The following is a 15026-nucleotide window of genomic DNA, read 5'->3' on the forward strand; positions in this document are numbered from 1 at the left end:
GTGATTACTCCATGGGGCATTCAAAAAAGACTGGATAGAATATAGAATCTGGATATAGGATATAGATATAGGATCTGTCCTTAGAAACCTTACAGTCTAGTTAAGAGGTAGCATGAGGAGCTTCTGCAGAGGTTGAATGTTAGTATCTTAGGAAAGTTACATTGGGGGTTCCTGTACTTGGAAAACGGGATAAATACCATCTAAATTTCCTTCTAACACAAAACATTATCTTCCTCAAATTTTCAAAAAATGCTTTACTGTTATCAAATTATAAAATTATGTTCTTAATTAAAGTAATAAAAGAGGAAAAAAGACAACATTTGGGTAAGTCTTATTCCACATTCCTTCCATAACAACAAGATATAATAATAAATTATTTGCATGTTTACTATAAACCAGATATTAGAGTAAATATTTTTATACATATGATCTCTTTCAATGTTTATCATAACTCTATGAGGTAAGTTTTATTGTTACCCCATTTTATAGTCACAAAATTGAGGCACAGAATAATTAAGTAATTTACTCAAAGTTACTCAACTGAAGGAAAGGGTATCATGATTTTAAATCCTGGTGGTCTGATTCCAAAGCCCACATACTGAACCACTATACTATATGGCCTAAAAATTGTTCAGTTATAGAGAACTATACATATACAGTATTCTAGCTAGGAAACATAAATTAATCTTAGTATATGTTATATTTTGGAATGTTCCCTTTTTTTTCATCCAACAGTGTACTGTGAACATTACTCCAAGTCAATAAATATGGATCTAAATAAGCATTTTAAATTAATGCTAGTAAGAGTCTATAATTTTACACATGTCATATAAAATATTTTATTTCTTCTCTGTTACTTACATTTAATTAAATTCAATAAACACTAATAGAGAATCTGTTTGTTAGGCATGGCACTAGAAGAAATGATCTGATCATCGTTCTTAGTAGCTCTCAAGTAGCTTACAATCTAGGGATTTCAAATCTTCCAGTCTTATTGGATACATCTCTCATTTCCTGGGTCTTATAATTAATTAGGTTTTGTAGATATTGGGTCCACTTAGGATAGCATAGACAAACAAGATAATTTTAGGAAAAGTTTAGGGATTATCTACAACCTAGTTCATCTTACCTGAGTGATGGACAGTGTATCATAGTAGCTTCTAACACTACGGCTATTCAACATCCTGCAGGCCAGACAATCAAGCTACATCAGAAAGAAAGGGACTAGCCTGTCAGTGAAAGACTGGGTAGTTAGGAAATCCATCACATTTTATTGTCACATTGAATGATGATGTGTCATCTGTCATCTCTTTGTAATACTGGCACATTGGTTCACATTATTCTGTCAGTGTTTACTCACTCTATTGTTTAAACCATTCTACCCATTTTCGCTAAATGTAGAAAAATGAATACTCTCTGCCAAGAGGAGAGTACCGCAATCACAGGGAAAGGTTGATAGTTGTCGGAGAGGTTTAATATTAAAAACCACATTAATATAGTGAAGTGAAATAGCACAGTGGTTGGAAACTTTGGTTAGGTTCCTATCCTAGCTCCTTTACTACATTTCTGGGTAAACGTAGGCTGACTTATCTACCTTTATTGTGTCCCATGGATTAGAGACAATACTGGTACGTACCTAATGACAATACCTTTTTGAGGATTACATGAATTGCCTTTAAAGCTCTTCAAACCCTGCCTAACACATAATAATTGCTCACAAAATTCTATCTTTAATATCTTAATCTTTAATTTGCCTCCAACATTGACTCATTGTTTGTTTTGTCATCGTGCCCATTTCTTTTGCAAAGTATTTAAAATAGAAGAGAAAGTAATCAAAATGATAGATACTATAAAACATTTGAAATGATTGCATTCATTTGTGTTCATCTACTCACTGAATCTTTCCACTTGGATACTTAATAATTGTAGCAAAATACATATCTGTATATTTCCCATTTTCCCTTGCAGTATTTTCCCTAATTTCTATTATTACTTTCATGTTCTCTTTATAGTTCCTGGATTTTCAACTGATCTTATTCAGATCATTGTCATTCCTCCCAGGCTCTTTCTTCCAAGGGTGGCTCTATGTGTTCCTATTTTATGTGGAACATATACTTGGTTCTGAACAAATTCTCATTTTTTATTAGGACCATGTGTTTCTCTTGCTAAATATCTTTTACCAAAATTACCATGCAACATCCAGTCTTTTCTAAGTTTGTTACATGTCCCTCCCGTACCCCACCACTCCACCTTGGGGTTAGGATGAGTGACCTTCTTATTTCTTCGTCTCTGGTGGGCTTTAAACCTACTCTCTGCATTATTATATTTGAGGTTTCCATTCTCCATTTTTGGTGATGAAATCACACCCTAAAGGCAATATTCTGACTTTGCAATTGTTCAATGTCCAGGAGATGCTCTGGTGCCCCATCTCCTCAATCGTGGCAGCCACTAGTGGCACCAGCTCTTTATTTTCATCATCATTTAAAATTACTCCACTTCCAGAATCCCAAATCTGATATTCTCTCTCACTCTGTCATTAAGCAGATTTTGTTATATATCTACTATATTCAAGTTACTGTGTCAGGCACTGAATACACAATGAAAAATACAGCATGGTGTCTGCCCTGTGGAGTACCAGTCCCATCCTTTGACCCATCTTGCTTTCCCCTCTTATAGAATGTTCTTTTCATCCTCTTGTCCTCTAGTGGCTTAACCCTCATTTTTTATTCAGTCCATTGGCACAATTCTACCTGAGTTGACATAATTGTAAACATGATTAAACATTTCAGAAATAAAAAATACCATAAATGGAGGCCCTGAGCCTTCCAACATATTTATCTTCTAATCCACCACCCTGGGTTATCCTCCTAATGGGGTTTAGGTTACAACCTCTAACCTACATGTTGTTCACAAATCTGCAAAAACATGGTTACCTAAAATATAATAATTCATTATTTGCTTTGGCAATTATATTATACATTACTTATTTGAAAGGCACAAAAGTACAGAATGAGATTAAATAATTGGCAGCATAGTATATGACTATGGCTTTATCCCAGATACAACTTGGGGACCCCAAGCCTTAGAACTTGGGCACAGGATACAGCAGGACCTGTAGTCAGACTGACATGATTCTGAGTCATCTGGATGAATGGACTGAAGCTTCACAAATTTTCGTTCCCTAAAAAGAAAACTGTCCTAGAATTTGGCCTAGGGGAAGCTCGCAGTTTTAGGTGGGTAATTCTGAAGCTTTATCTAATCCACACAGACCACAGAAGCTCATATCCATTTCTTTATTGCTAATTTTGGCCTAAATATATACCAGCTCTTGTTACTATGCACTGTTTCATAAAAATATGACTTGTATTCCCGTGTAATCAGTATACTTCGGGGAGGCAGACCCTGTATTCAATGTTTCCTTTTATCCCCTCCATGTCCAGCTGTACAAAATATGAAATTAATAAATACCTAGTGAGTGTTGGAATAAACTCGACTAACAGAATGAACACAACTGTAAATATGCTCCACTGGGTTTCATTTGTATAAATCCTTACATTATATCTCCCTTATCAGCAAGTCTATGCATTCCTGCTCATAATATATTTGAAAATATGTCATTCCTAGAGAAGAAAAAGAACTATGTACAAATTGTATGTTGAAGTGGATGTATAATATACATAAAAACTATAAATAGCCAAGATTCACTTAGAGAAATTTGGAGAAATAATTGAGAGATAATTAATGAACTTCTCCATCATACATGCGGAGATTGTCTACATTGTGTCATTTCTGAGTTATTACTCCTTCAATATTTAGGACTCACAAAGCACTGCTTTCTCCTAATGTTCTTCTCCCCACTGTTCACCCCAGTCCAAGGACCATTAACTATCTGTAATAGTATTATATAGCAAAAGACTATGTTTGATATCCTTGTTATCTTTTCATTTTCATCTTGTACATTTTATCCTGAAAGCAGGTGAAAGACTAAAATAACATTTTCAAACTAGGAGAATATTTTATTCCCTGTATTTTTTCATTACCAGATGTCTCCATCACCTGGTCTCCAGTGTACCTATGGAACACAACAAGTATTCCTTCTGACCAACACTTACATCCAAGAGTTCAGTTAGTATGTACAGCTAGTACCTGCGGTGTGTTAGATAACTTCACAATAACATTTAAATGAGCTAAATCTGACCAAATGTGATACTCTATAAAAGGAACAAGAAACAACTTAAATTCAATTTTGTCTTCAGTATACCATCTGAAAACCAAATGGCAGCCAATGCATTTTCCATATGGGCATAACGTTTTGTAATTCTTAACATATTTCATTGATTTTTGGTAAATGTGAAACTGCCATGGGAATTCCATATACTGAAGAGTATCAAGATCACAGAACTACTAGTTTCCTGCATGATATAGTCACAGCTGGCTGTAGACACATGCCAAGAAACCATCCATTGAGATCATTGTCTAGAAAACACTTAACAATTGGCGTTTGGGATATTAGCCTTGAAAATAAGACTATTTCATTGGCTACCTGAATAATAGAATACAGATGATTATTAACATTTCAGATTATACAAACTTTAGAATTAATAAAGAAATCAGAATAGGATTCAAAGTTATCCTGAGAAATTGGAGTAGTAGTTACACACAAATGAAAATTTCTGGGAATAAACATGAGTAATGCTGTGGTTACAAAGGAAAAATAAAGAAGAAAAACAAATAGACGAATCCAGAGTGAACATTTATTAGCCAAACAGCAATGCAGTAAAAAGTATCTATTGAAGAAATATGTACTTTGCAGCTACACAATTTAAACCAGTGTTTTTTTTTTTTTTTTTTAAAGCTGGGATGTGTGACTGGAAGGTGAGGAACTTTGACGCTCACAGTCATGCCATATACTGACTACCATCCTGCCTAGATTTCTGGCCTCTACAATAAAAGTGAGGACATTAAAATAATTTCAAAGACATGCAACTATAAGGGTAATACTTATTGAAAATATTTGAGGAAGAACTTAAGAGGTTGCTATTATTCATCCTGCAATTAAATGCATAAATATGTAGGGTTTCAAATTGTTTTTGTTTTAACAAATGTGGTGAGAAACTGTTGTTTTCCATTTCCATAAGAAGAGAAAATAAGAAAATATTTTTAAATTTAAGCAAGAATGATTTAAGAAAGAAGCAAATAAAATCTTTCAGAAAAAAATATTGCTGTATATTATGAAGGCCTGAGGTTTATTCTTCCATAGAAATTGTTAAAGGCAGGAGAGATTTTCTTTTTTCTCTAGGATTGGTAAGAGTAACTTTGTTTAAAGATCTCACTGTTTGTGACCTCCAAAGGTAATGAGGACCCTAGAGAGATTTGCTCTAGGTCTATAAAAGTAATGTGGTCAGATTAATGGTCGGAGCTGAATGAGAAGCCTAAACACTTTGGACAGGAGGCTGCCAGAGAAACAAGATGTCCTTTGACATTTTTACCTTTAGGTCACCAAGACACGAAGCAAGTGATATGCTTAGTGCTAGCAGATGATTTGAAGGTGCCAAGTGTTGATATAGACAAGATTAAAAAGGCATCAGACAATGGGACAGTCTTAGTCCATTCAGGCTGCTATAACAAAATACCACAGACTGGGTGGCTTAGAAACAACAGAAATTTATTTCTCACAGTTTTAGAGGTGGGGAAGTTCAACATCAAGGTGCCACACACTCAGTGTCTGGTGAGGGCCCACTCTCTCATTGAGAAAGGGTCATCACTGCCTGTTAACCTCTCATGGTGCAAGGAACAAGGGAGCTCCCTCATGCCTCTTTTATAAGAATATTAATTTCATTCATGAGGACTCTGTCTTCATGCCTAATCACATTCCAAGGCTCCACTTCCTAATACTATCATTTTTGGGGGTAGGATTTCTACATATTAATTTTTGGGAAACACAAACATTGAGTCCACAGCAGAGCAATAAATCATCCCGTACCTGCAGAGCCAAATGTGGTGTACTGAGTTTCCTCCATCCTGATAAAGTAAAGGATGACATAGGGAAATGATGGCTACCAGTAGTTGACAAATACTAAGCGATTGACATCTTGCCTGGTGCCATTGACAGCTGATTTTTTCTCTAGGGAACCCTAACTAAGGTTGGCAATTAAAACTGGTGAAAAGCAATGGAACTTGGGAGACCCTGTCCCCAAACTCCTCCTTCTTCTCTTTCCTTTGTGGGCACACTATAGAGGTTAAAAAGATCCTTACTTTATGTTAGGAGGTACATTGTGAACAAACATAGTGTACTTGTCATGATCAAAACTTGTAACACACAAGTTTTCTGAACTTCACTGGAAGGTTATACGCTATTAAGTCATATCCATACTGGCTTGTAAGCATGATAAATATGCACATTTATCAGGTGCAAGCTAATAAAAAGTTTTCCAAATAGGAGTTGCAACCTGTGATGGAATTAATACAGAGAGTTATTCAGTTTTCAAATAATGGAATGGAATGAAGTAGAATACAATATAATGAAAAGAATACAATAGAATAGAGTATAATAGAAATCCCAAGTAGAAAGGCTATGTATTATTTTGTAAAACTGTTGTTTCAGTTATTTATTTGTATTGGGAGGGATGTGGATGTACGTGTGAATATGCACAAATACAGTGGGTCACAATATAAAATACATTTCTTACTATGAATTCTGCTATGCAATTTGAAATCTACTGTCGTAAGATATTATCAGGGTCTCCAAATTAACAGGTTGTCTCTGAGCCTATGCAACACTAAACAGCTGTGGGAATAAAGAAATCATCAAACATCAGATGTTTCTAAGACATTTGGACACTTAACAGCATGTTGACAAAACATCTGAATGTCTAATTGTCTACTCCTCTTCTCTTCTAGATGTTTACTTTAATAAAACATAGCCATGAGTTGTGGCTCAGAGGTGTCAATCCTAACAACAATTTCATTTATATTCTTAAATTACAAAGTATGCTCATCAAATATCCTAAACTATTAAATGATTTTATTCCTGCAAGTAAAAGAGAATAAAACATGAATTAAAAGAAAAATTTTAGCAAATGAATTTGTTAAAGTCAAAGAGAAGTTCAACGCACATATAACCACAAGTTAAACTAATATGTGCAATGGAATATCATTTATAAATGAAGCTAATACTCTGATGTGCAAGATACAGAAACTGAGGAGAAATTACTTGATTCCTCTCAGTATCCGTTACATTTTATCATAGCAGTGTCTAGTTGTAGTCTTTCCCATATTAAGCTATATGAAACCATGTCAATGTACGACTTAAGATCACCCTGAGTTCTAGAGAAGGACATACTGAGAAGTGAGTTCATTGCTAATGATTTGACAAATCACTGGTGGAGAACTGTTTTTCTGCCTGAAAATTTCTTTAGGTATGTAATAATTTCAACAAAGAAGCAGGCTATTAATGGAAAAAATAAATATTCTCAAAAAGTCATTGTCTAAGTTTTAATGGTGCTTTCCTTCAAAATTCCTAATAAAATTTGGAAAGACAATAAAACTTCTTTTCCTTCTGATTCTCATGAATTCAGCCTGTAATCTAGTGAAATTGCAATTTATTAAATAAGGTGTCATAAATAATTTGTGAATATTGAATCAATAAGAGAATAACTTCTCTGCTCAGGCCCTGTGGTACAGATTGTATGCATTTCTTTTTCCTAGTGGTTCAAAGTGATTGTGAGAAGAGGTTGCACTGTCCTAGGAATTCCCACTGGCATTCTAGAACAAATCAGTGAAGCAAGCATGATGCTCAGCAAAGAACACATTTGACTAATTTAGAAGTTTCATCTTGGAGACTCTTGTTAAGCTACGTCTCTTGATAAGCTGTGAAATGCCAGAACTGAATAAATACAAAAACAAGAACAACAAGAAAAGTGAAGTAGTCACCACTGCTGTCTAAGCCTGATTTTTAGACCTAGATACAAAAACAAAACTGAAGAATGTAGGATGAATCATAAAATTTCTGCCTGAATTTTTTGCGTGTGTGATTAATAAGGCTAGACTTAAATATTCTAGGTAATTGGGTATTTGTGAAATTTTGCACACTAATCTTGTCAAGATACAGCCCAGTAGTTCTTGGAACACAGTATGTTGCCCTGTTCAGAATAGATGTTCGATACGAGTTGACCTACCAGTTTCCATATACAAACCATTCTAGATCTTCTGGTTGGTTGTACCAGTTACCACTATGAAAGAAATGTGTGATTCATGGGGGGAAAACTTCTTGAAACAATGCTATTCAACACCAAGAGAAATACTGGAGTGCTTTAAAAAAATAACCTGTGAGCTGGGCACAGTGGCTCATGCCTGTAATCCCAGCACTTTGGGAGGCCGAGGTGGGCAGATCACGAGGTCAGGAGTTCGAGACCAGCCTGACCAATATGGAGAAACCCCGTCTCTACTAAAAATACACAAAAAATTAGCTGGGTGTCATGGTGCGTGCCTATAATCCCAGCTACTCAGGAGGCTGAGGCAGAAGAGTCACTTGAACCTGGGAGGCGGAGCTTGCAGTGAACCGAGATCACGCCACCGCGCTCCAGCCTGAGAGACAGAGCAAGACTCTGTCTCAAAAAATAAATAAATAAATAAATAAATAAATAAATAAAATAATCTGTGAGTAGAATTTCTACGGAGATGGGAAAACAAATACAAACAAAATAAGAGTTTCTGGCTGAGGCAAAGCAGACATTGGGTAAACATTTTCAAGAAAAAAAAAATGCAGAGAAACTGCTACTAATGGCGCTCATGTGCTTCTTCATCCATTGCTTGGGAGTTCTCTCTAGAGTCCAGCCCCGTAGTTTATCCATGCCCCACGGCTATTGTATAAGGAGGGTTTTATTGCGATTTCTGTGTAAATAAAATAAATCTTAAGAGGGATGAGTAAGCTTGTGTTCTAATGAACATTTAGGTCAATTTTTATTCAATCTGGACTGGTTCTTCTATTTCTTTAACAAAAATGAAAAAGAGAGAAGAGAAAAAAAAATTAACTGAGTAGAAAAACACGGGATAGATAAAGCTTGGCAGTATCCCAAGTGGCAGTATTTTCTATAGAACAATTCTATCTCATGTGATACTCTCCAAGCTATTTTATTATCTGTACTAAAAAGCCAGCAAAGGCAGCTGCTGCTCCTCAGACCTTGGCATTCTCTGTGCAGCCTCCCAGCTCCACACCACCCTGCTGCAGGCCACAGGCAGAACTGAGCATGTCCAGCAATTTTCCACTGACCTGGAACATATTCGGCATCTCAGAAGGCAGCTCAGTCTCTATGCACAACTGCACCATAGTCCGTGGGTATAGACCACTTTCCTCATCCAGGAAGAGACAAGAAATGAGTACAAACTTCTCAATTTGTTTTGTCAAATTTGCTCCTAGACTAATCTGAAAATACTTACATTGTAAATTTTCTCTCTAAATTTTATCTCTGATATATTAATAAACAACCAACCTCAGATATCTACAGGGAGAATAAAAAGTTTGACAACTAAAAAACTCACACACACAGCGCCATGCAAAGGGATATGTACTCCGACCTTGCACATTGATAATGTTTTATTTCATTGTTGAAAATAGAACTTGACTTGTCTGATTCAACATGGCAGGCAAAGCTATCCCAGTAGGGATAGCTTCAGAGGAGATTTGTGATTTGTATCAGCTTTCTAAACACGATTCCAAATGACTTATCTTGTGAACCATTGTCACATACTTAGGCTAAATTCCATAGGAAACTGGCCCTGACATGCTTTAGGCGAAAGTTAATTCTTCATGATACAAAGAGTTAAAGGCAAGTCCTAGTCAATAGAATGGGACTGGTTGCAAACACCAATAGACCTCTGCGTTTCTATAAAAGACAACAGCTTCCACTTGCCATTCTTCTTCTTATCTCTTCTTCCTCACTTCCACCAAAATTTGCAGCTGTTGAAGCCCAGTCAATTATGACAAGGGCAGATGCCAAGAACAACAACAGCAAAAATATGTTAATGACGCTCTCAACACTGCCAGTTCTTCAATTCCATTCAATTATCTGTACTTTTCCTCCTGATTTCCATGACTTCAGGACGTTATCAAGTGCTCCATAATTAATCAGGCACCAAGCTAGACTGTGCTAATGAGACTCTGTTTACAGCACCCCTCCCCCAAGCTGTTCTCCACCCCTAATCCTCATTCCTACTGTATAATGCCTCTTTCTCTTTTTCCTTCCTACAGAGGCCTTGGGGCTTTTGAAATGATTCCAACAGAAAGAAGAGCTTATCCTGATAGGTTTTAAGGAGAATTAACATATAAGCAATGCCAGTTTCCCACTAGTTATCCATCATTGCTCACTTAAAGATAGGAACTTGTTCTGTTCCTAGTGAGTGACTCATAAATCCACTGCCTTTCACTCTTCTCCTTCCCATCTTCTCAATCCCACCCGCTTCACTTGAAGTTCTATCTGTAATTCACAGTCCCATAACTATTCCCCTTATTTTTATTCAGCCCTGGGCTATTTTTCTTTTCTTTGCCGGTTCCTCATGCTCACACATTTGTAATTATTCATTCCACTTTCCCCTTCCTTTTAATCCAGCTATACAGTATTTTCTATTTTATCTAGATGAAAATTTTTGAGGATTTGTAGTTCCTCTTTCTTAGCTTTTTGTAGAAGTTTTCCTGTATTCAGTCTTCTGGTAATGTTCTCTCTTTCTTTACAATAACAATTCTTTTTATTTTTTAAAATTTTGTCTGTTAGGGTTCTTATCTCTAATTCCTTTTTCTGGCTAGAGTAGCCATGAATAGAGACTACTGTTTTGAAAAAAGCTGTCTTCTACATCACTCATGGACTCTGGTAGTTAGTCACTGCCTCTGCCTTCTGTTTCTGAAGATGGAATATCTTTACTAAACACATAACCCTCAATAAGTAGCCTGATCATAATTAAAGTAGGATCTTGCTTTCTCATTCTTTTTTCCAGATGCTCTCAGAACTGAAACAACAAACTCTTACAGATATAGAAAAGGCTATTCAAATACTACATTTTCACTATCTCTTTATTGTCAATTTTTTAAAAAGTCATTATCTCTCACTATATTGTAAAAATAAATAATTCAAAATAAAGCTGTTGGAACTTTAAATTATTTTGTGCCTTAAAATGTGATTGTGAGGGCTGAGTCACAAAGCAAGCAGCAGCCACTGTTGCTTCTTTGATTACAGATTAACCTTCTTTCTGATATTTGTTTCTTTGTAAAATGTGAAAGACTGAATGGCACCAGAGATCAGACCCCCTTCTTTTCAGTTACTGATCTTTTGTTATAGATAAACTTCCTTCATATCTTTTCTTGTACCTGACTCAGACCAGATGGCACGAAAGTTCCCATGACTATTAAATCATTTGGGATGCAATGCTAAATATACCTTTCCCCAAAAGGAACAGACTGTAACCAATCAAACTGCTGTAACTCATGAACCAGCCTTGTATATACAATGTTGTAATCCTGCTAAACTTCTTTGTTTCTGCCTATGTAAGTGAGACTTTTACTTTGCTTCAGAGCACTGATCCCATTTCTTTGGAATTGGTGTTTCCAGAGTGGCTAGTCTAAAACTCTTTGCTTGAATAAACTCTTTAAAATTGGATTCCGATAGCTTCAAGTATTTCAGTTTGACAATAATAAGGTATCTGAAAATAAGTTTACCCTTAGTACAATCTTCTCACTAGAAGAATAAGGAAACAGACCAAAAGAAAAGTGAAGAGCCCATTCTAAAGTCACCTGGTTTTGAGTGATGTAGTTAAGATTTCAACCATATGTTCTTGAATCCAATTATAGGGCTTTTTAATTACATTCTGGGATTCCACTGTCTGCATAGAATAAATTGTCCCCAAAGCTTCATGTCAACTCTTAGCTGTCTCCCTTCCATATAGGTTATCATATGGAGCCTCATTTAAGAGATTTAGAACAAAAAAGAAATTCAGTTCTCTCTACCAAAACACCTATTTTTTTAAGTGGCCAAAAATATGGTCACTGGTCTGCTAATCAAAACAAGTCCCAACACAATCTAATATGAACAATCTAACATATTCCTGTCTTTCACAGTCTATGTAATTCTAATATGGAAACCATCTTTAAACTTATATGAAAAGAAAAAGCAGAGAAACCATTCCAAAATCATCAATTTTTATATTCCAATTGGAATATAGCTTAGTTATAAGTTTAGGGAGTGTCTGAATATTGATTTTTTTCTTGAGCTCATTAACTAATTTTCTTAAGATTGGAACTTCTCAAACCCTAAAAAAAAAACTAAAACTATAATGTAAACCCTAATAATTATATGTGTTTCTTTATGGATACAGTAGGGCATCTTCATAGGCAGATAACTGAGGTGTCTTGGGAAGAGGAAAACACAAATCAAATATCCTAGACAGAAACAAATATTGATTGATGAATAGAAGTTCTTTATTTTAGTGTAGCAGTCCAATTTTTCAATTATTTCTTTATGATTAGCACTTTTTTGTTCTATTTAGGGAATCTTTGCCTTAAAGATGTCCTACTATTTTACAATACATACTTTGATATATAATCCATCTGAAATTGATGTTAGTGTATAATGTAAAGTATAATTGCCAAAGAACTCATATCCAAAGCATGTAAAAGATTCCTAGAAATAAATAAGAAAATGCAGACAATATAAAAACAGACAGGAAACTTCAGCAGTTACTTTGTAAAAGGGGATATTCAAATAGTGATATCACATAAAGTACTCAAATTCTCTAGTTATCAGAAAAATTCAAATTAAAACCACAAGGTGATACCACCAAACATCCACCAAAATGTCTAAAATAAAAGACAAATACTTCAAATGTTGGCAAGGACATAGAACACCTGATACGTCTTATACATGCTGGAGGGAGTATAAATTTGTATAATCTCACTAAAAAGCTGTCAATAACAACTCAATTTCAACATATCAGCCCTGCAGTTTTGCTCTTTTACCAATGGTCATACATACACAGATTAAACAAAATACATGTATAAGAATGTATGGAGAAAATATATTCATAACAATATTTAACTAGAAATAACCCAAAGGTACATCTACAGTAGAATAAACAAATATAGTATACTTCTACAATGAAATACTATTGAACAATGATATATACAACTGGATTAATTATTCCTACCAACGAAATATTTAGCAAAAGAATCCAGAAACAAAGAGTTTATATCATATAATCTCACGTATATAAATTTTTGAAGCAGACAAAACAAATCCATGCTGCTACAGAGTGCTTATTCTTGGTGTCTGTGGGGGTACAGTGGCATAGGGTAACTTCTGGGAAATGATATTGTCCCATTTGTTGATCTGGGTGATAGTTACTTATACACTTGTAATTTATGAACTATTCATACCCATTTTGTACTGAAACTAAAAATAATAATAAAATGCAGATTCTACTCTGGCCTTAGTGAAAATCATATATGAGAGAAAACATATTTCATCAGAAACTGGTTCTAATATTATTATTTGAAGCCTGAAGAATAAAAAGTGAAGATACAATATTGCGATTTATAATCAAATATACATAATTGGTCTTCATGTCTATTTTCTGGCACACAGCTCCTAAAACCTCTGGAATCTCCAAACTGACAAGTGCCATTTTGTGTGCCAATAAGAAGACTGATGGCTGGGGACTTCTGGACAGCCTCAGGATGGTAGCTGGTTGCCAGGAGAACCAATCCTGTAATTAGAGGGTTGGAACTTTCAGCCACACTCCCAAACAACTGGGAGGGAAAGAAAGGCTAAAGAATGAGTTAATCACCAATAGCCAATGATGTAATAAATCATGCCTACATAATGAAACCTACTTCAAAGTCCAAAACTGCATGATTTGGAGAGTTCTGGGATAGTTGAATGCGTAGAGGTGCCTGGAGGGTAGTGTGCCTGGAGAGGGCATGGAAGCTTTGTGCCTCCTCCCACATTCTTTGCCCTATGCATCTCTCCATCTGGCTGGTCAGCTGTATCCTTTGTAAAATCCTTTATAATAAGTGGGTAAATGTAAGTAAAGTATTCCCCTGAGTACTGTGAACCACTCTAGCAAATTAAACAAACCCGAGGAGGAGGTCATGGGAACCCCAATTTACAGCAAGTCAGTCAGAAACACAGGTCACAACCTGGGACTTGCGATTGCCATCTGAAGTGGAGATGGTCCTGTGGGACTGAGGACTTAATCTGCCAGATCTGATGCTATCTCTAGGTAGATAGTGCCAGAAGTGGGTCAAATTGTAAAACGTCCATCAGGTATCTGCAACAGAATTGGTTGTTTGGTATGTTGGGGGTGAGGGGGAATACATTTTGGTGACTGGAGGTGGGTGCCTGAGTATGAGTAAAGGATTTCCTTTAGAGAAGAAAAAATTACAAAAATAAAATCACCAAATGGAATTTTTTGAACACCTACTATGTGTATGTTCATAAATAATGAAGTAAAAACAGATGCTGACCTCAAGGGAAAGAGGATCTAGATAAGACTTCTGAGGCTCTGAGACAGGGTCTCCTAGAGAAAGAATGAACAAAAATAGGAAATATAAGTGAAAGTCAGTTTTTGAGTACTGTTTTGGATACCTTCCAACTGAGATGACAGGAAAACATGCAAGTGGAAATATTCAGGATACATTTAGTATTATGGGACAAGACAAAGACGTAAGTCAGGACAAGGATCATGAATCTGGAAATCACCTAAACGGAGGAGAGAGTGCTTTGGGAAGAAATTGAAGAATACCAGGCTGAGAACCAAACTTGGCATATACGGACACTTAGTAGGTAAAAGAGGTTCCCAAATATCCTGTCTCTCTGTTGCGTATTAAACGGTACTGCATTTTGCTGCCATTTTCCAGTTAGAAGTGACCAAGCAATTTGATTTGGCCAGTGAAATGTGAACAGCATTCATGTGTGTCACATTTGGGTGGAAGCTCTAAGAAACAGTATAGGACTTGCCAAAATCCTTTCCTACTACCTTAG

The 15026-nt window shown here is 35.7% G+C and overlaps 1 long non-coding RNA gene across 1 annotated transcript in view; it reads right to left on the bottom strand.

Annotated features, from left to right (window-relative positions):
- Positions 1 to 13123: 13123 nt before the first annotated feature.
- Positions 13124 to 15026, bottom strand: part of LINC03051 (long intergenic non-protein coding RNA 3051) — a 120212-nt gene continuing 118309 nt past the window's right edge. The window contains exons 2-3 of the long non-coding RNA NR_182298.1: positions 14510 to 14562; positions 13124 to 13749 (exon numbers count right to left, since the gene is read on the bottom strand). This is a non-coding gene — a long non-coding RNA (long intergenic non-protein coding RNA 3051). The remainder of the gene's footprint in view (positions 13750 to 14509; positions 14563 to 15026) is intronic.

The sequence above is a fragment of the Homo sapiens genome, chromosome 3 (assembly GCF_000001405.40).
Source record: "Homo sapiens chromosome 3, GRCh38.p14 Primary Assembly".
Taxonomy (NCBI): Eukaryota; Metazoa; Chordata; class Mammalia; order Primates; family Hominidae; genus Homo; species Homo sapiens.